This window comes from Homo sapiens, chromosome 1 (assembly GCF_000001405.40).
Source record: "Homo sapiens chromosome 1, GRCh38.p14 Primary Assembly".
Lineage (NCBI taxonomy): Eukaryota > Metazoa > Chordata > Mammalia > Primates > Hominidae > Homo > Homo sapiens.
The window spans coordinates 209,783,800-209,806,703 of record NC_000001.11 but is presented as its reverse complement, the minus strand read 5'-3'; the positions used below and the strand labels follow the sequence as shown (position 1 = coordinate 209,806,703).

At 45.4% G+C, this 22,904-nt stretch overlaps 2 protein-coding genes across 3 annotated transcripts in view, besides 4 other annotated features; both read left to right on the top strand.

Moving 5' to 3' along the window:
- Positions 297-640: a silencer, noted in NCBI's record as "fragment chr1:209979409-209979752 (GRCh37/hg19 assembly coordinates)". NCBI's record gives its function as "represses an EF-1alpha promoter that drives an FKBP-Casp9 reporter gene in an ReSE screen in HepG2 liver carcinoma cells {active_cell/tissue: HepG2}" and the evidence as "EXISTENCE:reporter gene assay evidence [ECO:0000049][PMID:32094911]".
- IRF6 (interferon regulatory factor 6) lies at positions 562-21,087 on the top strand. Of its 2 annotated transcripts, NM_006147.4 has the most exons (9): positions 562-757; positions 4,661-4,732; positions 5,288-5,464; positions 10,152-10,356; positions 11,286-11,414; positions 14,277-14,435; positions 15,817-16,209; positions 16,919-17,037; positions 18,060-21,087. In NM_006147.4, exons 3-9 carry the CDS (start codon positions 5,291-5,293, stop codon positions 18,282-18,284), a joined length of 1,404 nt encoding a protein of 467 aa, NP_006138.1. In that variant the 5' UTR covers positions 562-757; positions 4,661-4,732; positions 5,288-5,290; the 3' UTR covers positions 18,285-21,087. The 2 variants fall into 2 exon arrangements, with proteins under 2 accessions (NP_006138.1, NP_001193625.1); NM_001206696.2 differs by lacking the exons at positions 4,661-4,732; positions 5,288-5,464.
- Positions 21,207-21,822: an enhancer, noted in NCBI's record as "H3K27ac hESC enhancer chr1:209958227-209958842 (GRCh37/hg19 assembly coordinates)". NCBI's record gives its function as "activates a minimal SCP1, AML or CMV promoter by ChIP-STARR-seq in naive H9 embryonic stem cells {active_cell/tissue: H9 hESC(naive)}" and the evidence as "EXISTENCE:reporter gene assay evidence [ECO:0000049][PMID:30033119]".
- Positions 21,823-22,440: an enhancer, noted in NCBI's record as "H3K27ac hESC enhancer chr1:209957609-209958226 (GRCh37/hg19 assembly coordinates)". NCBI's record gives its function as "activates a minimal SCP1, AML or CMV promoter by ChIP-STARR-seq in naive H9 embryonic stem cells {active_cell/tissue: H9 hESC(naive)}" and the evidence as "EXISTENCE:reporter gene assay evidence [ECO:0000049][PMID:30033119]".
- Positions 22,007-22,266: an enhancer, noted in NCBI's record as "active region_2476". NCBI's record gives its function as "activates an Ori minimal core promoter by ATAC-STARR-seq in GM12878 lymphoblastoid cells {active_cell/tissue: GM12878}" and the evidence as "EXISTENCE:reporter gene assay evidence [ECO:0000049][PMID:35858748]".
- C1orf74 (chromosome 1 open reading frame 74) overlaps positions 22,145-22,904 on the top strand; it is a 5,352-nt gene continuing 4,592 nt past the window's right edge. The window contains exon 1 of the mRNA NM_152485.4: positions 22,145-22,326. The gene's annotated coding sequence lies outside the window, so the exon portion shown is untranslated. The remainder of the gene's footprint in view (positions 22,327-22,904) is intronic.

The following is a 22,904-nucleotide window of genomic DNA, read 5'->3' as shown; positions in this document are numbered from 1 at the left end:
TATTATTCTCATTGAAGAGATGAGGAAACTGAAACCAAGAAGCCAAGAAGCTAAGTAACTTACCCAGGGTCACACGGGTAAGAGGCAGAGTAAAGGTAGAATTCTAGTCCTGAAAGCCTATGGCTTCTCCCAGACAGGACCAAGTGTCCTGGTTCTCTTCTTCATGTGCAACTCCACTTACACAGGCCCACGAGTAGTAGGGCCAACCCAGAATCTCAAAACCCTTATTTGTGCTTAACTGTCTGCATACTGCAGGGTAATTATGGGCCGTGAAGGAGGGAGGCACCCTCTCGACTTAGATCTGAACTCCCAGTCGCTTCCAGTTCCCAGGACCACCAGCCCTGAGCCGTAAGGCTAGGCCTGAATCTGGGACTTTCTTAGCCGGAGTTAGAAGCGGAGGAGTAGGGTGGGACGCTGGACGGACGCCGCTGGGCCGGGCAGCCCAGAAACGCGGAGTGTCATATTTCTTGCAACTCGCCAATCCCGAACGCCGGGGGGCGTGGCCACACCTGGGAGGCGTGGCCGGGCGGATGCGAAGGCTGCGGCGTCCTGGGGCGAGGCGCTGACGTGAGCTCGGCGCACCTGGGCTGGGCAGGTAAGGGCTGGTGCGGGACGGGGAGAGGAACCTGCAGTCCCTACTTGGGTAGAGCCAGGCGCCCCTTGGCTAAGACGTCGAGGAGCGTGGTAGCGACGGGTGATCTTCGCTGCGGACTTGGTTCGGAGGGACGTCCGCTTCTGGTGGACAGATTGAGCAAAGGTGGGTACGCCAACTTCTGGGGACCAGCTTGAGGGAGGAGAGGCTCCCCCGTGGGTGGGGTAGGACCCATCCCCGGAGTTTGTAGGGGGTGAGAGAACTTGCTTGGGGGCATCTGTGTGTTTGGGGTGGGTACCCACTGGGGCTGGGTGCCTGTCGCCCTTTTCCAGATAGCTTTGGGGCGGCCTCAGTTCTGTAGCGCTAGGCCCCTCTCGAATCTACACTTGTGTCTACTCTCCCTACCCCCACCGCCGAAGCGGAGGGCACTGCTCTCGGCCGTCAACAACCCCACTATCCGGTAGAGCTAAAGCACCGCGCCCCCTTCAGTCTTACCAACTTGCGGCTGGCCCCTGTGTCCCAGAGAGGGGACTTCCCAGGTCCGCAGGTCCTTGATCCTAGTGGGCGTTTTGGGAAACTGGAGTGAGGGTGGCCAGGAGCTTTGGAGCATTGGCGGTTTGTCTTCCCTCCCTGAGTCTGTTTGGCACAGTTAGGCCCTTCGCCCTGGGCCTGGGAGACAACCTTGGATTTCCAAGGAGCGGAGCTAGGTGCTGGGGAGGGTGGCGCTGGGGTGTGGTTGCTCTGGGGGTGGGCCCTCTTTGCCCGAAGGGGCTGGAGGGTGGTGTGGAGAATGGGGAAAGTCTCCCAGGCCTGACTTGGAAAGGAGGCCTGAGGTGTCACTCTTTACAGGGAGCCTGCTTTGTGGTAAAGGGGTCATCCTGTTCCAACCTGTTCTCTTGGTGGATGTCAAGAGTGGAAGTCAGGGAAAAGAGATGGATAGAGAGAGGAAGGCGCTTGGGTGGGATTGGTGAAAGCTGGTGTTGACCCAGGAGTGTGGTTTAGGATGAGACGTGTGTATGATGTATGACAGTGGCACTCAATACCTTGTAACTCCCATTCGCCATCCCCCAGCTTCCATCCAGCAGAAGGGAAGGGTGTGGGCATTTTGACTAGAGGCCTGCAGTTTACCCCTAAGCAGGGCTAAACAGGGAAGCCTGAGGAACGGAACTTAGACGATGGCATTTCATTTCTTTCAGGAGAAAGGGAAGAGCTGGGACTGCTAAGAATTGTCTGCGAGAAATGGCGTGTGTTTTAACCTGAGCAAAACCACTGACGGCCAAATCTCGGCTTTTGTGTGGCAGTGCCCCTGGAAACTAGTCTGGGGAGGAGCTATGGAGGTGGCAATGAGGGTGTTTATGGAGGACCTGCTCCCTAGAATAGGGGTATGGGAGAGGACAGTTATGCTCGGAGGAGGCTGAAAGTGTCCCTCCTCTATGCTCACTGTGAGGGGAATAGATAGGTTAGCATCATTGTCCTTTGGCTGTTTAAGTACCTGTTAGAGACACAGGCCTTACATTTTGCTGTGATGGCAGCTAGAGATACCAAGATGAGTTCAACTAGGCTAAGGTGGTTCTTCAGGCGTTGGGATTTGGGTGGCAAGAGTGTTTAGAAAGAGAACTCTGATTTAGGTGTGTTTGAGAGTGGATGTTATGCAGTCTCCACCTCAATCACTTTATTGGCCCTCTATGCTGCTGGGATCTTTGTTGATGTTTTTAGTTTACTTTCTTGGTGCGCAGAAGATGAGAGGGACATGGAAGACAAGGTGCAGTGGCAGGGTTTGGTACAGAACACTGTGACTTAGGAAATAAAGCACCTCAGCCCAGATGTAAAATGGGGATAGTAATATCACATTCAGGTTTATGAGGATGAAATCAGACATGTTAGGTAAAGGTTCATGTAAAAATTGTAAAGCCTACACAGATACAAAGGATTGTTGTTACCATCCTTCATAAGAAATGTCTTATTGTCCTGAGGTTAAGAAAAAATTACTTGTAGTTTTTTAAATTATAAATTGAAACATATCATTGTAGGAAAATATGAATCATATATAATGTATATGGGAGAATGTAAAAAGCACCCATAGTTGCATCACTAGATAACCATTACAAATATTTTGTTGCATTGTTGTATTTATTTCCTTTTTTCAGTTCTGTGTGTATGTGCACATGTATGCAAGTATATGCTGTGTTACAAGATGGAGATAGTGCTACACAGTCAAGTTGTATGCTGTTTCCCCCTGCCCCCACAACTTCATATTGTAAACATTTCCTTGAGTATAATACAAATTCTGACACCTGTTGTTAATGGCTACTTAATATTGCAGCCTGTGGTTGTGACGTAATGAATGTTTCTGTCTTGGCCATTTGGGTTTTCAATTGTTCCATCTCTGCCTGTTTTTAGACTTGTAGTTACTGGGTGGTGAGTGGGGGAGATCTTGGCTGACTTTCAGAAGGTGGAGAGGGTTTACAGTGAGAGAGGCAGGGCATGGGCTTGGAGGAGGGCAGGCTGGGGCTCCTTCCATGGGGCTGAGGCAAGGCTGCTCTTGTGTAGTCCCATCTTAGGAGAACACTGAGAACCCAGGGCTCTAGATCTTAATCACTGATTTCTGTGGGTGGCTGCTTCTCCTTTCCCATCATCAGGTGCAGCTCCTGGTCTTGGCCTGATTGCCTTAATTTTTGCATGGTGGGATTTGGATCAACTACAATAAGTCCTTTTGGACTTTTCTTCCAGTCCACTATCAGTCAAGAGTTGGATTTTAATGTCTGACAGGCCCAAACACAGCACTTACCAGTATTGCAATGGAAATTCTCAAAAGCTCTTTACTAGATTGACTGGTTTGGTGCCTATTTCCCTATCCTCTTTTTCCTTCTCTTGCTCCATCCCCCTTTCAGTAGTGATAGGACTGGGGAGCAGAAGGTAGAACTAGCCGTTGAGAGAATATGCATCCCCTCCTCCTTATAAGGCTTATAATGCACTCCATGGTTTGATGGTTTCACATGCTGCCCTACAAAACACCGTAATTCAAGGCCAACTACATGGGGGTACTTGAACACTGCGTGCCAACCTGACCTACCCACTATGCTCCCAGGGGGAAGGTTTCAGTTGCAGGACTTGGTAATTGGGTCAGAAAGCTCAGGTGAGAGCAGGTCTTGCCTTGCTCTTAAAGTGCCAGACGCTGAGTTGGGTTTGGGTTTTTCACATTTGTTGGGAGTCTGGCTGGGGAGAGAAGTGGTGTTATGGGCCACCCCGTCAGCTAAGCTCTTCTGAGTAGGAGCCTTCAGCTGACCCTTTTAACCTCTTTTCTTTCCCACCTGGCACAGTTTATTCCCATATTTAGCTGCTTTGCTGTAAGGTTGTTTGGTTTCAGAACTGTGGTCCAGGTAGGGATCTTTCTGGGTATGAAGGTGACCTATTTATCTTCCCCTCCTTCTCAGGCCATTGTGGGGCTTGAGAAGTTCCAGTGTGGAGTTTCTCAAGAAGGAACATGGAGCGTCAGTGTTTAGTAACTAACACCGTGCTTGGCACACAGTAGCTGATGAACAAATATTTGTTGAATGAGTGTTCTTTTTCCAGGCATCTCATTCTCATCTTAAGTAAAAACAAAATAAGAACACCAAAAAATCCAAACACAACATCTCAGACAAACAATTCTCCAGTGACTGTTTTTTTATCAGTCACCCAATCTGGGAAGGCTTTTGTTTTCTGCTGTGAGTGCCAGCTGCTCTTGAATGTTATCTGCTATGCCCATGTATTTTTACAAGAATCAATTGCAGACTTTACCCATGCTGGCTCCTGCAACCAATTGGTTCACTCCAGCCTTCACTGGGAGATAAACAGACCCAAGGGAGGAGGCTGTCCTAGCCATGCAAAGCTTGTCTCATGACTGCTTTTAGTACTCTAAGTACTCTTAGTACTTTAGTATTTGGTTATTCTAGGGCTTCTGAGCTTTACCAGACTCAGTAGTGGAGACGTGTTCTCAGCCTTTGTCGCCAGTGTTCCCAAGCCTTCTCCCAGACACTGGATTGTTGTATGGATAGCCAGCTGAGACCCCTCCTTTTCTCCATACAGAATCTTTGAGCGGTCAAGGGAAAGACAAGCCGACTCTTCAGATCCCTGTGGACACACTGCCTGCTCTTCCATGTAAGTGAGGACTCTGGAGTCCAGGATCTACCCCTTATCTACTTCTCCCTCATCATGGTGGTGTCATTTATTTCTAAAATATTCCCATTCACCTTTAGTTGTCTTGTTTAAAAAGAGAACATGTGTCACCTTCTCACTTATATAGTTGTTGCTGTTTCCATAACTTTTTTCTTCCCTCTCCTGAGATGAGATTGAAAAGAGCAATTTTCCTTCTCTTCCAAAGCCCTTGGTGCTTCAGGAAGGACTGTGTTCCAGCAGGATGACATCACCTTTTTATTTTTCTGCTTCAGGATTTAAATAGAAGAAATGTGATCTACTTAGCTGATAAGTCTGATTTGGCTAGAGCATGAAGTGTAAATGGCTTTGGAATCAGAATAAAAAGGACCTTTTAACCTCTTTTCTTTCCCACCTGGCACAGCTTATTCCCATATTTAGTTTCTTTGCTGTAATCTAGTGAAACTGTAGCTCTAGTAGATGGGAAAGGTGGCTGGGAAGGGTTCCCAGTGGCTGGCCTAATTCTTCTGCTCTTCCCATTTCTCCCTCTGACCCCCCCAGATCATGGCCCTCCACCCCCGCAGAGTCCGGCTAAAGCCCTGGCTGGTGGCCCAGGTGGATAGTGGCCTCTACCCTGGGCTCATCTGGCTACACAGGGACTCTAAACGCTTCCAGATTCCCTGGAAACATGCCACCCGGCATAGCCCTCAACAAGAAGAGGAAAATACCATTTTTAAGGTAAAGGACTTCTTCTACCATCAGACCTTTCTGGATTTTTTTTTTTTTTTTTTTTTGGCATGGGGAATACACTAGATCTAAAACTCTGGTGAAACAGAGAGAATGCTTATGATGGGGGTGCCCAAACTCAGCAGGCATAGTAATTCCTCTTTTGGGGGCATGTCTGCAATGGTTGAAGCCGTTTATTCTTTCCCACTCATTGAAGGTACTCACTCACATCCCAAAGGATACCAGCTGGGGTTGGCTAAAACTCTCATTAGTGATTGTAGTGATGTGTTTGTTTCAAAAGCTAGCGAGGGTCAGCAGTTGACTCTTCCTCCTCAATAACTCAGAGCTCTTGCTATGCAGAGAGTTGCTTGGGCCTGGGAATGGATACTCAGACCAGGACAGAACTATCAGGTGTTAGCAGGCACGCAGTATAGCCTATGTGATTGGTATAGAGGGCTCTCAGCAAGTTTTTCTTTCTTTTTCTTTTTTTGTGGGATATGGTCTTGCTCTGTCAACCAGGCTGGAGTGCAAGTGGCATGATCATAGCTCACTGCAGCCCTGACCTCCTAGGCTCAAGCGATCCTCCCGCCTCAACCTCCCACGTAGCTGGAACTATAAGCACACACCACCACGCCTGGCTAATTTTTGTATTTTTTCTGTAGAGACGGGGTTTCACCATGTTGCCCAGGCTGGTCTTGAACTCCTGGGGTCAAGTGATCCTCCCTCCTTAGCCTCCCAGAGTGTTCAGATTACAGGCATAAGCCACTGCACCTGGCAAGCTTTTCTTTTGAGTTAAAATATTTCGCCCCATCTATAACTGGGGCTTAAAAATCAAAGGTGATTTAATTACAAGTTTTAATTTTTTAAATGGTTTTAAAAATAAGAAATAGCACTGATATGACAGTCATTTTATTTAACTGAAAACAAGATTTAATCACATAGCATTTTACAAAATTTAAGTGAAACCAAAGCTTGACTTAAGACAGAAGTAGGTGGACAGGCTTGTTGTGGGAAAGGTTTTCACATGGTTTGAAACCCTGGAGGCTACGTCTCTGCTCCACACCAGCTTCTTTCTTGGTCACTTCCATCTCATGAGTAGCTTTAGTTCCTGCATCCCAAGACACTGAGAAGTTAGTTTTGTTTGCCCTTTTCTTCTTTGAGTATAAGCTAGAAGTCACAAGTGAAATACAGTCTCTACTGTGGGTCTCTCAAGATTCATGCTTTGGGTCCTTGCTGAAATTGGGTTGGGAAAGGGCAGAAAATGTAAGCGCAGGGTTCAAAAGAAAGCCATCCTTAGGATGTTTCCCACCCAACTCAGTTATGTCAGGTGTAGAGAGGACAGGCAGAGAGAATATTGACCTGAAGGTACTTAGAAGGTATTTAGAAAATCTAAATCTTAATTTAGATTTTAAATAACAATATAAAAGTTGATAAGGTTAGTACCTATAAACCAGCACCAATTATTGGAGTTGGCATTGAGAAGGGCACGGGCCCATCTTGGCCCATTTGGCCTCTTGTGGCCATGGTCTGAAACTGGATTTGCTGTTCAAGTGTCTGACAGTGGCTGGCCCTGGGGAAGAGGCTATTTCCTGAAAGCCCTACTCATGAGAGTGATGCTTTGGGCTTGCATGCTTGGGGCTTGAGGAAAATTGGGCTGTGGGGAGGTGGCTTTGTTTTAGTTATATCTGTGCATCTGTTTGCAGAGTGCAGGGGGAGGGTGCTTTCACAGATACCAAGCTCTGATGGCCTTTAGCAGAATATGCAGCTGGGGCACTAACATTAAATGGGTGTCTGTGTCCATTATCTCTTTTAATTCTCGTGACAACCCTGTAAGGGAGGTATTACCTTCATGTTGTTGATACAGAAGCCAAGTCTTAGAGGGGCTGAATAACTTGCCAAAGTCACACAGCCAGTAAGTGGTGGGGGTAGGATTTGAACCCATGACTTTCTGTCTGCATCCCACCCCCCATTATACTGCCCTTTCTGATCAAGAACTGGAAGACCTGGCCTCAAATTCTACTACCGTCAACTGCATGTGTAGCCCTGAGCAAGTTAACCTCTCTGGGCTTCAGCTCTCCCTTTGGTAAAATGGGGATGAAATTAGTCTTGCCTGTGAGAATCAAGTGAAATAAAGTATGGAAAGGGATTTGTAAAGCACTATAAAAATGCAGAGATTATTTCCTCTTTAGAAAGAGAAATAAGGACCTGCACAGTGATCAGAATCTCTTGCTAGCAAGACTCAGAATGGGTTTGAACAAGTGATGTTTATAAATCACAATGATTGCCACATGGTTCCTCCTAGGCTCTCCTTTCTTGATTCTTTTTTTTTTTTTTTTTTTTTTTGAGACAGAGTCTTGCTCTGTCACCCAGACTGGAGTGCAGTGGCGCGATCTTGGCTCACTGCAAACTCCGCCTCCCGGGTTCAAGCGATTCTCCTGCCTCAGCCTCCCAAGTAGCTGGGATTACAGGTGTGCACCACCATGCCCAGATAATTTTTGTATTTTTAGTAGAGACGGGGTTTCACCACGTTGGCCAGGATGGTCTCAATCTCTTGACCTCATGATCCACCCACCTCAGCCTCCCAAAGTGCTGGGATTACAGGCATGAGCCACCGCGCCTGGCCTCCTTTCTTGATTCTAAAGTTCCAGTCTTAAACGATACGGCTCTTCACTGCATCAGCCTTGGGTGCCCAGTGCAATCTGGGTGGGTCCTGGGGATGGCTGTGTGGTGAGCAGGAAGGCTGGGGCTCTGGTTCTGGGTTGGTCTGGCTGCTCTCCATGGAGGAGCAGGGATTTAGGGAACCACAGAAATGTGCAGAGCTCTGCCAAAGTCTTCATAGCCCGAGTCAGCTGGGTGGGGCCAGAGTTAGCGTGGGCACACAGAGGATCAAACAAATGGAAGGGAAAATTTGGGGAGGCAGCAGCCAGGTACTGCCAGGTAATTGGAGATAGGCCTTCCAGATACCAGCGACCAGTGAAGTTGAAATCTCCCGTAGGGGGTTGGATAGAATGGAGCAGCAGTTAGGCCCCCTAGTGTCTGCTCAGCCACCTGGGGCAGCAGAATGTTGTCAAACTTCTTCATTCCATACCACAATCAAATGGAGGGACCCAAATCTGAAAAGATGGTAAGAGGAAGTGATCTGAATTGGAGGAGGAGGATTTAGATTAGCTTTTGAGGAAACTTCCTCATGCCTGTGAGGTTCTTCAGGGGGCGACTGAAGGAGATCAGAGCTCTCAAAGGATGGGGCAGAAAAATTCAATTTCAGCTTGAGGAAGAAGCCTATGATCAGAATCAGAGGAAGGGATTGGGTTTGGACAAATCATATACACTGTTGGCTTGAAAACGTTGGTGTGTGCTTCCTGTCTTGAGCTGTCTGCTAATGGTACCTACTTTTTCGGCATCAGAACAAGTTGTACTCCTGCACAAAGAGATCAGAGAACTTGTTAGCAATGGGGGAGAGTGGCTATCCCATTGCAGAAACAAGAATGCCTGTTAGAGCTGAAAGTAGGGCCAGGTGTCTACTCCCTGCTTTGCTCCTGAGCACCTTGGTCTATGACTTGAGCGGCTTAGATTTTTCCTTTCCTCATTAGGGAGGCTAACTTCTTCTTGTCTGGGGAAAGTGCTGTGAGTTTCCATATTTGAAAACCAGAGAGAAGGAGTCGAAGTGGTTTTAGTCCGTGCTGCCAGCCACTGGTGTGGTTGACAGCATGATGTTTCTAATGAAGCAGAAGTTTGAGGGGATAGGGTAAGGTAAGGGGTGTGGATTTTTTAGGACTTGAGGCCCTCAGCCAGAGGGACAAGCTGAACCCCCAGTGTGTTTCCTTCCCTCCTAAAGGCACTTGGTTTCTACAATTCTTTTTTTTTTTTTTTTTTTTTTTTTTGAGATGAAGTTTTACTCTTGTTGCCCAGGCTCGGGTGCAATGGCACGATCTTGGCTCACTACAATCTCCACCTCCCGGGTTCAAGTGATTCTCCTGCCTCAGCCTCCCGAGTAGCTGGGATAATAGGCATGCACCACCATGCCCGGCTAATTTTGTATTTTTAGTAGAGACAGAGTTTCTCCGCGTTGGTCAGGCTGGTCTCAAACTCCTGACCTCGTGATCCACCCGGCTTGGCCTCCCAAAGTGCTGGGATTACAGGCATGAGCCCCTGCACCCAGGTTACAATTCTTTATTTATGTATTAGATTGAAGACTGACAGGAGGGAACACAGGAGGCCAAACTCTTCATATCCTCTGCCATCCCTCTTTGTCTTACCTATTGTCGTATAAGCAACTCATGTCAAAAATGAATAAGCAAAGAAAAAAAGTTACTTGAAATTCTGCTATCCAGAGTTACCATCTGCACTTTGGTGCATATTTTCAGCAGGCTTTATCTTCAGCCCTTCATTAGAGCATTGTCGTCTTGATGAGTGCCGGTACCAGTGCTTGAGATAAGGTTCCTCCTTTTAATATATTGTGTTTGCACATGGCTTTATTTCCCTTAGGCACCTGTCTTGCCTGGTCCTAAGGGCAGTGTTTCCTGCTGCAGTCTCTGTAAATCGGGGTTGGGATGATGGGGCAGTCATGCAAAAGTTGTGTGTGTGTGTGTGTGTGTGTGTGTGTGTGTGTGTGTGTGTTTGTGTCTATGAGAAAGGGTAAGCACATGCTTTGCAGTGGCTCTGGGCAATGATAGGACTCACTGTGGTTTCTTGTTCTCAGGCCTGGGCTGTAGAGACAGGGAAGTACCAGGAAGGGGTGGATGACCCTGACCCAGCTAAATGGAAGGCCCAGCTGCGCTGTGCTCTCAATAAGAGCAGAGAATTCAACCTGATGTATGATGGCACCAAGGAGGTGCCCATGAACCCAGTGAAGATATATCAAGTGTGTGACATCCCTCAGCCCCAGGGCTCGATCATTAACCCAGGTGAGGCCCCAGGTGCTGGGGAGAAGGTGGGCAGCATGCCAGATTCTGGGCTGCACTCTTAAGAGATAGTCAACTTGAAAACAGCCTGATTTACACAGTTTAAGATGGATAAAGCAAGAAAGCCTTTCTCTGGGAAGGACCCAGAAAACAAAAGATGCAGACTCAGCAAAATCTTGCTTACTTAGGGGAATGTTTTTTAACCTGGTTACTTAAAGCATTAGAAAGTGGAGGGGTATACAGTTCTACTGTAAAAGTAGCCTCTTTTGGGATTCAAGAGGCCAGGTAGTTTTGAAGGAGAAGGGATTAAAGCTTAAAAGGTTTGCGTTCTAAACCTGGCCCTTATCACTTTACTACTTGTGGGACTTGAATCAAGTCATTTTACCTCTTGTAAGCCTCAGTTTCTTCAACTCTAAAATATGGGATCTCAGCTTTCCTATTTACTTCAAAAGCTAGTGTGAGAATCAATTAACATGATCTGTAAAAAAAAATTAACATGATCTGTTAAAAAAATTTTTTAATTGACAAATAATAATTGTACATATTCGTTGGGTATATAGTGATGTTTTGGTACATATAATAGTGACAAGATCAGGGTAATAAGTTCTTTATACATATTGGGTGACTGATCGTTTAATTCATAGGATACTTTGACTAAGAGAATATCTCCTGATCCCTCCAATTAACTGCATACTTAACAAGTACTAACAGCCAGATAATTTAGATATGTGCTCCAGTGAATCTAGGGAGGTCCTTCCATGAGAGAAGTGTTCATTCCCTTGATTCTCACTCTTTTTAGCTAGGACATTGAGGGTGTGTACTGAACCTGAGGAGCCTCTGGGCTAGCAGTCCCTAGCTTGAATGGTGGGTCAGCTGCAGGGGTGGCAGTGCAACCTGAATGGCTCACCTGCGAGCTTGTGTATCTTGGGTAGGATCCACAGGGTCTGCTCCCTGGGATGAGAAGGATAATGATGTGGATGAAGAAGATGAGGAAGATGAGCTGGATCAGTCGCAGCACCATGTTCCCATCCAGGACACCTTCCCCTTCCTGAACATCAATGGTGAGTGGGGATGATGGGTGGTACAGAGACATATGGAGGATGTAAGGAGTTTTGACCTTGGGACTGTCAATACATTGGCCACCACTGCCCTGAAAGCAGGATCAGTCCCTGCAGCCAGACTGCTGGACTGTTAGCAAGTGGGAGTCAGAGGTGAGGAACTCCCTGTTGGCTCAGTTATCCCAGTAGAGTTGGGTGGGTTCCAGGCAATAGAACATCTTTGGAAGCTTATGTGCTAATTCAAAGAAATAAAAAATTTGAATTCATTCTTAACCCAACATACAAATATATCATCAGTTACACATTTTGCCAATTTCCTTCAGGCCAAGTACAGTGTCATTTTTTCGAGTTACGGGCAAACTCTTCTAATATTTCCCTTGGTATAAATTCTGTGTCACTTCCTTCACAAGGACTACTCTGCCTAGGCTGTATCACGGGAAACTTGTGATGTCTGTAGCTGATAGTACTTGGCTCTGATAGGATTTATCTGCAAGAGACTTTTCTTTTATGGGCTTTTGAATCCAGCTTCCTAGGAAAATTGAGTTGGGAGCTTGAGAATTCACCGTGTGACAGAGCAGGTACTGAATCTCCCACTGCGTTTTCTGAGGATACTTGAACACACGTTGAATTGCTCTTTCTGCAGCATCTTTACTTCATTTGTCCACTGAAATGCTCCTACGCAAATGACTTGCATCCAGCCAAGCAGTTTTTCATTGTCTTTTTAGTACCACCTGGCTGCAATGGGTCAAAATGAGATAACTTGTGCCACCTATAAAACTTAGGATAACAAGATGATTTATTTAGTATTTTCAGGTACTCTACCGTAGGTGATGCCTCTACCTTTGAGAATCAGGAAATGACACTTGTCTGTCCACTGGCCCTCCTTCATTTATATCTTTGCAACCAAGTGTGGGTAAAGAGAAGTTTCATAGAGATCTTGCAGGTCAATATTGCCACATGTTCAATGTCACTAATCATTAGAGAAATACAAATCGAAACCACAATGAAATACCATCTCACACCAGTCAGAATGGCTGTTATTGAAGTCAAAAAATAACAGATGCTGATGAAGTTATGGAAAAAAGGGAACACTTATATCCTGCTGGTGGGAATGTAAATTAGTCCAGCCACTGTGGAAAGCAGTTTGGTGATTTCTCAAAGAACTTGAAACAGAATCACCTTTTGGCCCAGCAATCCTATTATTGGGTATATACCCAAAAGAATATAAACTGTTCTACCATAGGGACACATGTACCCATATGTTCATTGCAGTACTTATTCACAATAGCAAAGACATGGAATCAAATTAAATGCCCATCAATGGTGGACTGGATAAAGAAAACGTGGTACATATATACCATGGAATACTATGCAGCCATAAAAAAGAGTAAGATCATGTCTTTTGCAGCAACATGGATGTAGCTGGAGGGCATTATCCTAAGTGAACTAAAACACAGGAACAGAAAACCAAATACTACGTGTTCCCACTCATAAGTGGGAGCTAAACATTGAGTACACATGGACACAAAGAAGGGAACAATAGACACTGGGGCCTCCTTGAGGACGGAGGGTGGGAGGAGGATGAGGATAAAAAAACTACCTATTGGGTACTACGCTTATTAACTAGGTGACGAAATAATCTGTATACCAAACCCCGGGACATGTAATTCACCTATATAACAAACCTGCACATGTATCCCTGAAACTAAAATAAAAGTAAACACAAACAAAAAATTGCCACACGTTACATTCCCGCTTAGTGAAATTGAACATCTAGAAATGTGGGATCCTTTCTCAAATGTCTGGCTGACTCATTCTGTTATTCTCACCCCCTAAAAGGATGCAGTTTATTTCCAGGATCCTGATTTCCTATTTCTGTTGATCTTTTATTAAAGCTAATATTTGTGTGTCCTTATGTTTTGAGCTGCCTTTAATCCTTTTTTGGAAAGTTGTAGAATAGATACTAAAAACAAAAAAGTAAAATGGGAACATAAATTTAACCAGTTCCCATAAATTTAACCAGAGTGCCATTGCACTCCAGTCTGGGTGACAGAATGAGACATGATCTAAAAAAAAGGGTCAAAGAAACATTAATCTTTGTGATTTCAGAGCTGTTGGGGCAGAGGATGAAGAATTGTTGAAGAATAGATGCCTAAGAGGTGAGGCTAGGAGGAGAAATCTGTAGACTTTGGAGCAAGTCAACTTTGACAGTAGCAGGGAAATACTCTTTTTTCTTTTTTTAAACCTTTTAATTGGATCCTTTTGAATAAATAATACTTTCACATGGTTTACATTCATAATGGTACAAAAAGGTAAATCAGTGGAAAGGTTTTCCTTCTATCCTGTCCCTGAACCTTTCATTTCTTTCCCTGGAGGAGTCAGATCCTTCTAGGTTCTTGAGTATCCTTCCAGACATTTTATGCATGTAAAAGTATTTGTTTGTTGTTAAAGGTATTTCTATGCATTAACACTTACTCGAAGCTAATCAGCTAATTTAGCTGAGTTCGTTTTATGGAAGACAACCAGCTTCTATTTAATTGCTGGGGCCAAATTTTACAGTATGGAATGTCTTACTCCTTGTAATTTAACCTCCAGAGAAAACTCACATGTCTATGTTAATCTTCAGCAAACAAAGGTTTTTAAAACTATGAATTTGTGGGAGAAATAATATGACTAGGAAGCAGGAGCAGGGGAACCTTATTTCTTATTGCGTTAGTTATGGGAATCACTGATGGGCTGGAAGATCACACTGGGTCAGGGTTCAGTGTTTGGTTCTTGTCTACTGACCTTGTGAGTTCTCAGAGCATCAGCAAGTGATGTGCACGTGTGGTACCCCTGTCTGCTCACCATATGCTTTTGTTTTAGGTTCTCCCATGGCGCCAGCCAGTGTGGGCAATTGCAGTGTGGGCAACTGCAGCCCGGAGGCAGTGTGGCCCAAAACTGAACCCCTGGAGATGGAAGTACCCCAGGCACCTATACAGCCCTTCTATAGCTCTCCAGAACTGTGGATCAGCTCTCTCCCAAGTAAGTGAGACTTTATCTTTCTTGCTCGGTCTTCTGCTTCTATTATAGACTCTTTCCTGTCCTGCTTTCTAACTTCATTTCTTTGCCATGTATTGAAAAACTACCTGTCTCAGAGGCATCCTCTGTTTCTGTTTCCTGGCTAGCCCATGAGTCACCAGGGAAGAAGTAAAGAAACACTGGCCCAGCTGGGTGTGGTGGCTTACACCTGTAATCCCAGCCCTTTGGAAGGCTGAGGTGGGAGGAGTGCTTGAGGCCAGGAGTTTGAGAATAGCCTTGGCAACATAGTGAGACTCTCTACAAAAAAATTTTTAAAGAATTAGCTGGGCATGGCAGTGCATGCCCATGGTCCCTGTTACTTGGGAGGCTGAGGTGGGAGGATCACTTGAATGCAGAAGGTTGAGGCTGCAGTGAGCCCTGATCATGCCATTGCACTCCAGTCTGGGTGACAGAATGAGACATGATCTAAAACAACAACAACAACAAAAACATTGGCTGACACTTACTTGCCCATAGGGATGCTCTGATTGGTTACAGCTCCAGCTCCAGGTTATTCAGGTCTTAGGTGGGTAGGAGTCCCAGATTTATCAGTCACGCAGGGGGATTTAGTGACAAGGCCAGTTGTGGAACAGGGAGGTTAATGGCCATGGATTTGGTAGAGGAGGCTCTTGGATTTTGAGAGGCTTTAGGACCTACAGAAAAAAACCTCTTTCTGAATTTGGTACGAATTTATCTCAATGACGAATCAATGTCATTGCTTGGGTCTCCCTTTCACACTACATATGGTAGGCATGTGAGTGCTATTAATAAAATTTTGTCCAAGAGGCTAAGTAGCTTTGATAGGGGCTATTGGGTTCAATGGAGATTTGCTGAGTAAAAATTAACTTTGATGTGAACTGTGTCCTTTTATGGTATATTATTAGAGCAGATCCCCAGTGTGTGTGTTCACATGTCATTTTCAGAAAAATTGTTTGGTATTGCTTCTTCTTCCTCAAGTTTCTTTAAACAATAAGCTAAAAATGATACACAAACAAGATACCTTAGTTTTTAGCTCCTTCCAATGACCATTGGTGTGAAGACTCAGTCAGTATAGCGTGGGGACACCAGGACCACTTTACTTGATGCAATTGTAGCCTTTGGGGTGTGGTGATTGAACAGAAATAGTTGAGATGGACTTTGAACTGTTTGCTTTCAGGCAGCCTTTTGAGTGAATATTCCAGGGATATGTTGATGTCTCCCTTTATTGCAGGAAGGATAACTATGGCAGTGGCCTTCCTGAATGCTGGTTGAAAGGTGGCTTGATCTTAATGGACTTGCATGAGTCACAGGGATGAACAGGCAGAGCAGTGAAGCAGGACTCTCACTGTCATCTCTAACCTTGCAGTGACTGACCTGGACATCAAGTTTCAGTACCGTGGGAAGGAGTACGGGCAGACCATGACCGTGAGCAACCCTCAGGGCTGCCGACTCTTCTATGGGGACCTGGGTCCCATGCCTGACCAGGAGGAGCTCTTTGGTCCCGTCAGCCTGGAGCAGGTCAAATTCCCAGGTCCTGAGCATATTACCAATGAGAAGCAGAAGCTGTTCACTAGCAAGCTGCTGGACGTCATGGACAGAGGACTGATCCTGGAGGTCAGCGGTCATGCCATTTATGCCATCAGGCTGTGCCAGTGCAAGGTGTACTGGTCTGGGCCATGTGCCCCATCACTTGTTGCTCCCAACCTGATTGAGAGACAAAAGAAGGTCAAGCTATTTTGTCTGGAAACATTCCTTAGCGGTAAGTCATTTCTCAGAAAGTTGATCGTGGGAATCACTCTCTGGAAGTACATTCCTTCCACTATCCCTGTCTTTCACCTTCCTGCTTTCCTGGCATGGCAAAGATCTTAAAAAATTTAGTCTGGAGGAGGTCAAGGGAGAACAGAACTTTGGTTCTAAAAATTGGAGGTGACCTAGGCAACAAAGAAGGGAGTTTCACTCCAAAGCTATGTACTTGGAAGCTATTTTTAAGTTGGTTGTGGCTCCTTCAATGGCAGAAGAGGGAGACAGCCCTGTCATTACACCTCAAATGTTACCAGCGTGTCTTTAACTTTGGAAGGTAATCCTGTTTGTTATGTTCAGAATAGCACATATTCTTTTGGGAATTATCTGAGTGGTGAATTCAAGCAGGCAGTTTTAGGGAAAGCACCGTGATGTCAATTTTTTACAATGTGGTTTGAACTGCAAGTCATGATCAATGATGTCCAAGAGAACCCTCTGTAATTTGTACTGTTCAATATATTTGTGCTATTCAGTATGGTTGTCACAAGCCATATGTGGCTATTGAGCATGTAAATATGACTAATGTGACCCAGGAACTGTTTAATTAATTTAAAACTAGTGAGCACATGTGGCTAGTGGCTATTGTAATGGACAGCATAAAAGATGGTATTTGTTGAGTGGATGTGGAATGACCCAGTATACCAAACTTGCTCTTCCACTTTCTGCAGATCTCATTGCCCACCAGAAAGGACAGATAGAGAAGCAGCCACCGTTTGAGATCTACTTATGCTTTGGGGAAGAATGGCCAGATGGGAAACCATTGGAAAGGAAACTCATCTTGGTTCAGGTGAGAAGATAAGGCTGTGTCAACAACTCTTCATCTTTTTGCCAATGCTTAAGCCCCCAGGTCTGGGTTGAGCCCTCATCAAGCATCCATCAGCCCATGTAGGTTTCAGTCTCATCAGATGGGGTAACAGACTCAGGTTTGTGCAGTAGGACTCATGCTGGAAAAGGCAGGGTCCTTAAAATGGGTGATTGATTTAGTGGAGATCTTATCTTTCATTCTCTTACTAACCTTAGAGTCTTGCTGAAACCTCACAGGATATGACCCTTTCCAGGTTTTCTTCACACACAAATACACACACACACACACACACACACAATGTAAATTGCACTTTTTTTTTTTTTTGGAGACATGGTCTTGCTGTGTCGCCCAGGCTGCAGTGCAGTGGCACCATCTCAGCCCACTGTGGCCTCAACCTCCCAGGTTCAAGTGATCCTCCCACCTCAGCCTCCCAAGTAGCTGTGACAACAGGCACAGGCTACCATGCCTGGCCTAATTTTATTTTTAGCAGAGATGAGGTCTCACTATGTTGCTCATGCTGGTCTGGAACTCGTGGGCTTAAGTGATCCTCCTGTCTCAGCCTCCCAAAATGCTGGGATTATGGGTGTAAGCCACGATACCTGGCCCTTTCCAGCCTTTCTTAGAAAAACCTTTTGAGTTACTTTTAGGAATATAAATTTATTCTAGGAAGTGGCAGCAAGGCCACTTGGGCTTTGCCCCTGGAGTTGTGTAGCAAGGCAAGCAATAGATGATATTTTGTAAAAAGTCTTGCAAAGTAAGCAGTCATTTATTTAGGCCTGTGATGTAATGTTACATCTAGGTTCTTTACCTTCATTTGAACCAACTTCCACAGTGAGCCTTGGCAGAAGGATGGTCCAGAGAGATGAAGGCATATCCTATATTTAGACATCAGAATGGGGTCTTCCTCAGGGCCTCTTTGGTCTGTCCTTCAATCTTGGGTCCATTGTGCTATTTAAAAATACCTTTTCCTCAGAGGATACACCTGTGTTCTGTGTCCTGAACAGGTCATTCCAGTAGTGGCTCGGATGATCTACGAGATGTTTTCTGGTGATTTCACACGATCCTTTGATAGTGGCAGTGTCCGCCTGCAGATCTCAACCCCAGACATCAAGGATAACATCGTTGCTCAGCTGAAGCAGCTGTACCGCATCCTTCAAACCCAGGAGAGCTGGCAGCCCATGCAGCCCACCCCCAGCATGCAACTGCCCCCTGCCCTGCCTCCCCAGTAATTGTGAATGCCATCTTCTTCCTTCTCTTTTTTATAATATTGTACATATGGATTTTTTTATTGTTTAGATTTAACCAGCTTTTAAATCTCTCTTTTCTCTAACAGTGTTAGAAGTTTGTGATTCTCCAAATATGCCTAGATTTAAAGCTGATTTAATTTATGGAAAAATCACCCTTCAGACTTTGCTTTTCTTTTTCAAATCTCCTAATGGTAGTATGATATAGCATAGTAGAAGGAGATTTGGCCTGGGAGTTTGGACACCAAAGTTCTAGCTGCAGCTTTGCTTCCAATGTGACCTTGAACAAGTCCTTTAACCTCTGGGCTTCAGATTTATTGCTTATAAAGTGAAGAGATTGGAGTAGTGCCTGAAATTGCATCCAGCTTTAGAACGGACTCAATGACCTTCTTCTACTTGTACAAGGCTAAACTGCCTGGAACAGAATCCTTCTGCATTGTTCTTGTACCACATTTTTCCTTGGTTTTGTTAAAGTTTCCTCAAGCACTGATTTGTCCAGGATCGAGCTCTGTTTGACCTGTTCTGCTAGTATAGTAAGCTGGCTCCCTGATGGGGGAAGTGAGAGGGAGAGGAGCTGGCTGGCTGGTTGCTTAGAAACTATGCTTGATATCTAAATAGAAATGGGTGCCAAAGTCTGAAAGTCACCCAGCCTGTGGAGTGAAAGCTCACAAATTTGGCTTCTAAAGGGAAGCTGTTGACACAGAAAGCCTAGGGATTCTGTGGAAGAATAGGTTGTCAGGCATTTACCTTATTACCACTCAAATACCAGTGTGTGTGTGTTGGGGGGGCGGCAGGGAGAGGGGGTAGGTGACAGTATGTGACTCAGGTGTTAGCTTTAAGAGGAAAGAGCTCTATTTTTCTTGTTTTCTTCTCTGAGCTAGACTGAGCTGGGGATCTAAGATGTACTTCTCTGACTACAAAAGGGACAGTATCATTTAGATTTTTTGCAGTTGGAAGAAATGGGTTGTTGAGTGTGTTAAGGCTGGGATGAAGAAGGGCTGGGCAGTACTCTTCTGGAAAGGCTCACCTAGCACGAACCTGCTTGTCTCCCTTACTAGTGGAGGTATCTGAGTGTGAACAGTGAAGGTAAAGAGTGGTATAGAACAATGCAGCTGTATCTGTCACAAACTGGTCTTATCTAGAAACATCTGCTGAGTCTCTAACCCTTTCAGCTTTCTCTTCTTTTTTGAGACAGAGTCTTGCTTTGTTGCCCAGGCTGGAGTGCAGTGGCAAGTCACCACTTACTGCAGCTTTAAGCTCCTGGGCTCAAGCAATCGTCCTGCCCCAGCCTCCTGAGTAGTTGGGACAACAGTCGTGCACTATGATGCTTGGCTAATTTTTTTTTTATTTTTGTAGAGATGAGGTCTTGCTATGTTGCCCAGGCTGGTCTTGAACTCCTGGGCTCAAGCAATCTGGGACCTAAATGGCAAATAAGATGCTAATCTGTGGTTGCAAGCCCCAGTCCTCTTGAATAGTGATGCCTATCTGTCTGTGTCGGGACATAGTAAGGAAGCCCATGTCTAGTCTGGTACCTTTAAACCAGGCCATCTCCAACTTTTCAAAATGACTCAAAAGTTGAGCTAGCCTTATTTTAAAAACTAAAAGTTCAAAATCAGTGGTGACATGAGGACTTATTTATTTAAAGTGCTTAAGCCTTGGTTTTAGAGTTTCTAAGAGACCTAGTGGAATTTGCTATTATGAAAAGCATGAAAAGATTAAGAAACCTGGCTAAAGGTCAGGTGCCCAGCTTCGAGGAAAAGTTGGGCTTTTAGGGACCGGGAAGCATTAAAGGCACAGAAACTTTACATTTTGGGGGTCATTTTGTTGAGTAGGTGAAGTGAGGGATTTGGGCTTGATATTTGGCTGCCCCATCTCTACGTGGGAACTCAAAGTTAAAAACCCACTGTAGGTAAATTAGAAGGGCAGCTCTTGAATCTGGGCCAGTCTATATCCCTTCTGTGAAGTGCTAACAGCCAGGCTATCTGTAGCCTGGGTGGGAGCCCAGATAATGTGAGCTGGTAAAGGGTATTGGAAAAGTGCCAAGAAATGCCAAGCTTTTGGTTCGTAACCACTATAAAAAGTTTATGAACATGTCAGAGGAATGGATGAGTGATTTGTGAGGTCTTAACTAGATACCCCGGTTTCTTCCTTGTTTTGGCTTCTTTTCAGAATGCCGGGAGAGTACATGCAGGGATTCCATCTAATCACCCTCAGCACTCTTTCTCTGGTCCTGCTGGATAGATTTAGATTTCCTTTCTTTTTTTAGGGCCTCAGTCTGCTATCTCCTTTGGTGGCTACCACCACTCACTCCCTTGATATCTTCTACTCCCTTGCCTTCACCTTGCTTAAGACTGAGAAGGGAGTTAGATTTTGTCACTAGCTCTTCTTTTTCCTCACTGTGTACCCCACCAAACAAGATTAGTTCAAGTTAAAAAGAACCTACTGGAGGTAAACTGGGAGAGCAAGTGTTGGATCTGGGCTGGTCCCTTTCCCATAAAATTAGGTCCCTGGTTGTATGTTCCCATAGCACCCCATACTTCCTCTCTCAGAATAATCATTTCCCTTGTAATGCTCAGCATCCGCATCCTGCTTGACTGCAAACTTGCTGAAGGTAGGGACTGTTTGTCTTGGACTTCGCTGCCAGTCCTTAGAACAGTGTCTGGGACACAGTGTGTTCTCAAATATTTGTTGCTGGAATAAATGAATGAACTAAATCAGTCTTTTAGGGATTTACTGTTAACCACCATGGGAAAATTAAATAAATGCGGGGAAGGAAAACGTTCTAAAATTAGAAGACTACTTTCTACTCTCAGCTTCTGATTCCCTCTGAGCTAAGAACCAGACAGCCTTAGGCTGGTAACTCCTATAAGCTGGTCCTCCTCCCATGCTGACCCCATCTTTACTGTACAATTCACTTTTCATGGACTGAAGGCACCACCAAGATAGATCCAGGAGTGACAACTCCAGTGTAGGTGTCCACTGTTCCCTTAATCTCTGTCCTGCTCCAAGTATAAATAAATTGGGGCCATTTCCTTAGATATTGGGGTTTTCTCAAGAAATCCTTTCCCTTCGTGGCATGGGTCAAATCGCTGGTAGTTAAAAAGGTGTTAACTCTTACGTGAAATAACACTTTTTCTTTGTAATGACCTGACTGGAAAGCCTCTGTGTCATCACTTCTCATTTCTTATTTGAAATCAGCAAACTGGATTCAGTAGACATGAACTTAAGCCCCATGAAAGTGGGGGTTTTGTCTGTTTTGCTCACTGCAGTACCTCCAGGGCCTAGCAGCATGACTGGCACATATTTGTTCAAAGTGAATACTCACACCTTCACACCCTCCCTAGAGAGCTGTTGTAGGCCTCTCAAATGTAGGATTTAGGGAAGTCAAGTTAAAAAAAATTAAAACGTTTCAGCACCACCCACAGGTGAGGCTATTCTGCAAAATATGTTGTCTTGAGGTATGTTTCGTCTGGACAAAACGTATTTCCACAGACACAAATCAAAGGTGTTTATTAACTGCTGTGTGCCCTGTTTCTGGATTCCCAGTCAAGTGGGACACCAGACGTCATAACACAGGGAGGACGTTCGGCGAAGCAAAATGAGGGCAGCAGCGGGAAACCAGTTTCACCAGGTTCCGCCTTTTCTCGTTTACTTCCGCCCTTCCCAGTTCCTAAGCCGACAGATGGGGCCGCGTTCAGTCTGGCCGGAAAGGGCGGGCCGCACGGTGGCCCAAACTTCCGGCGCGCAGTAAGGCTGCCTAGCTAGTGATTCTAACGCGAGGCGCGCGAGCGGCTGGATGACGTCACGGAATGGGGGGAAAGAGGGCGGCACTCGAGTGGGTGCGCATGCGCAAGAAGGTGCCTGCGGGACTGGAGCAGAGCGGGCTGCGAGGGTCTTCCCAGCGCAGGCGGGTTTTCCAGTGTTACTTGCGGCTGGGCGTGGGGGACTAGCTGCCTTTCTGGCAGCAGGCAGGAAGCCGCAAAAAGTTTCTGAGCCCCCGAACCTGTAGCGGACGTGGAAAAAGAACGTATGTGAGACAGACTTATGCCTCATTTAGCAAATCACTATAACATGCTCTGGTGTGGGGTGTGTGGATCGGAGAAATCTCATCTTCCGAGGGTCCTTGATGTCGGACAGAAAGGGAAGGCGGGGCCAGCAGAAGTTAAAATACTACCCTTCTGCAGTTCTAGTGGATTTCATTCATTCATTTTTATGTGTCAGGGTGAGATGGTTGTTAGTCCACATTCTGGTGTATATTAATCAAATTACTATTCTTATAACTATTCTCTGGCGGGAAGAGTAGGGGAGTTGTCAGTGGAAAGGATACATTTGGAACTTGGAGCTCTGTCCCAGAAGGGCTTTTGGGCGAAATGCTGTGAATTTTGCCAAACACTGCCCCGCCTCCGCCTCTGCCCCAAATTCCCTACGGTTTGAACCAGAGAACGTAATTTGCAACAGGTGAAATTTAGAATAAAAGCCAGAGGGAATATAAATCTAGCTATAAGGCTAGAAAAACACACGAATTTATGATTGAGGGAGACCAAGTCAACCAGAAAAATCAAGCAGCATCGGTGAAACTATCTTGTCTGGGCTGGGTCGCCATTT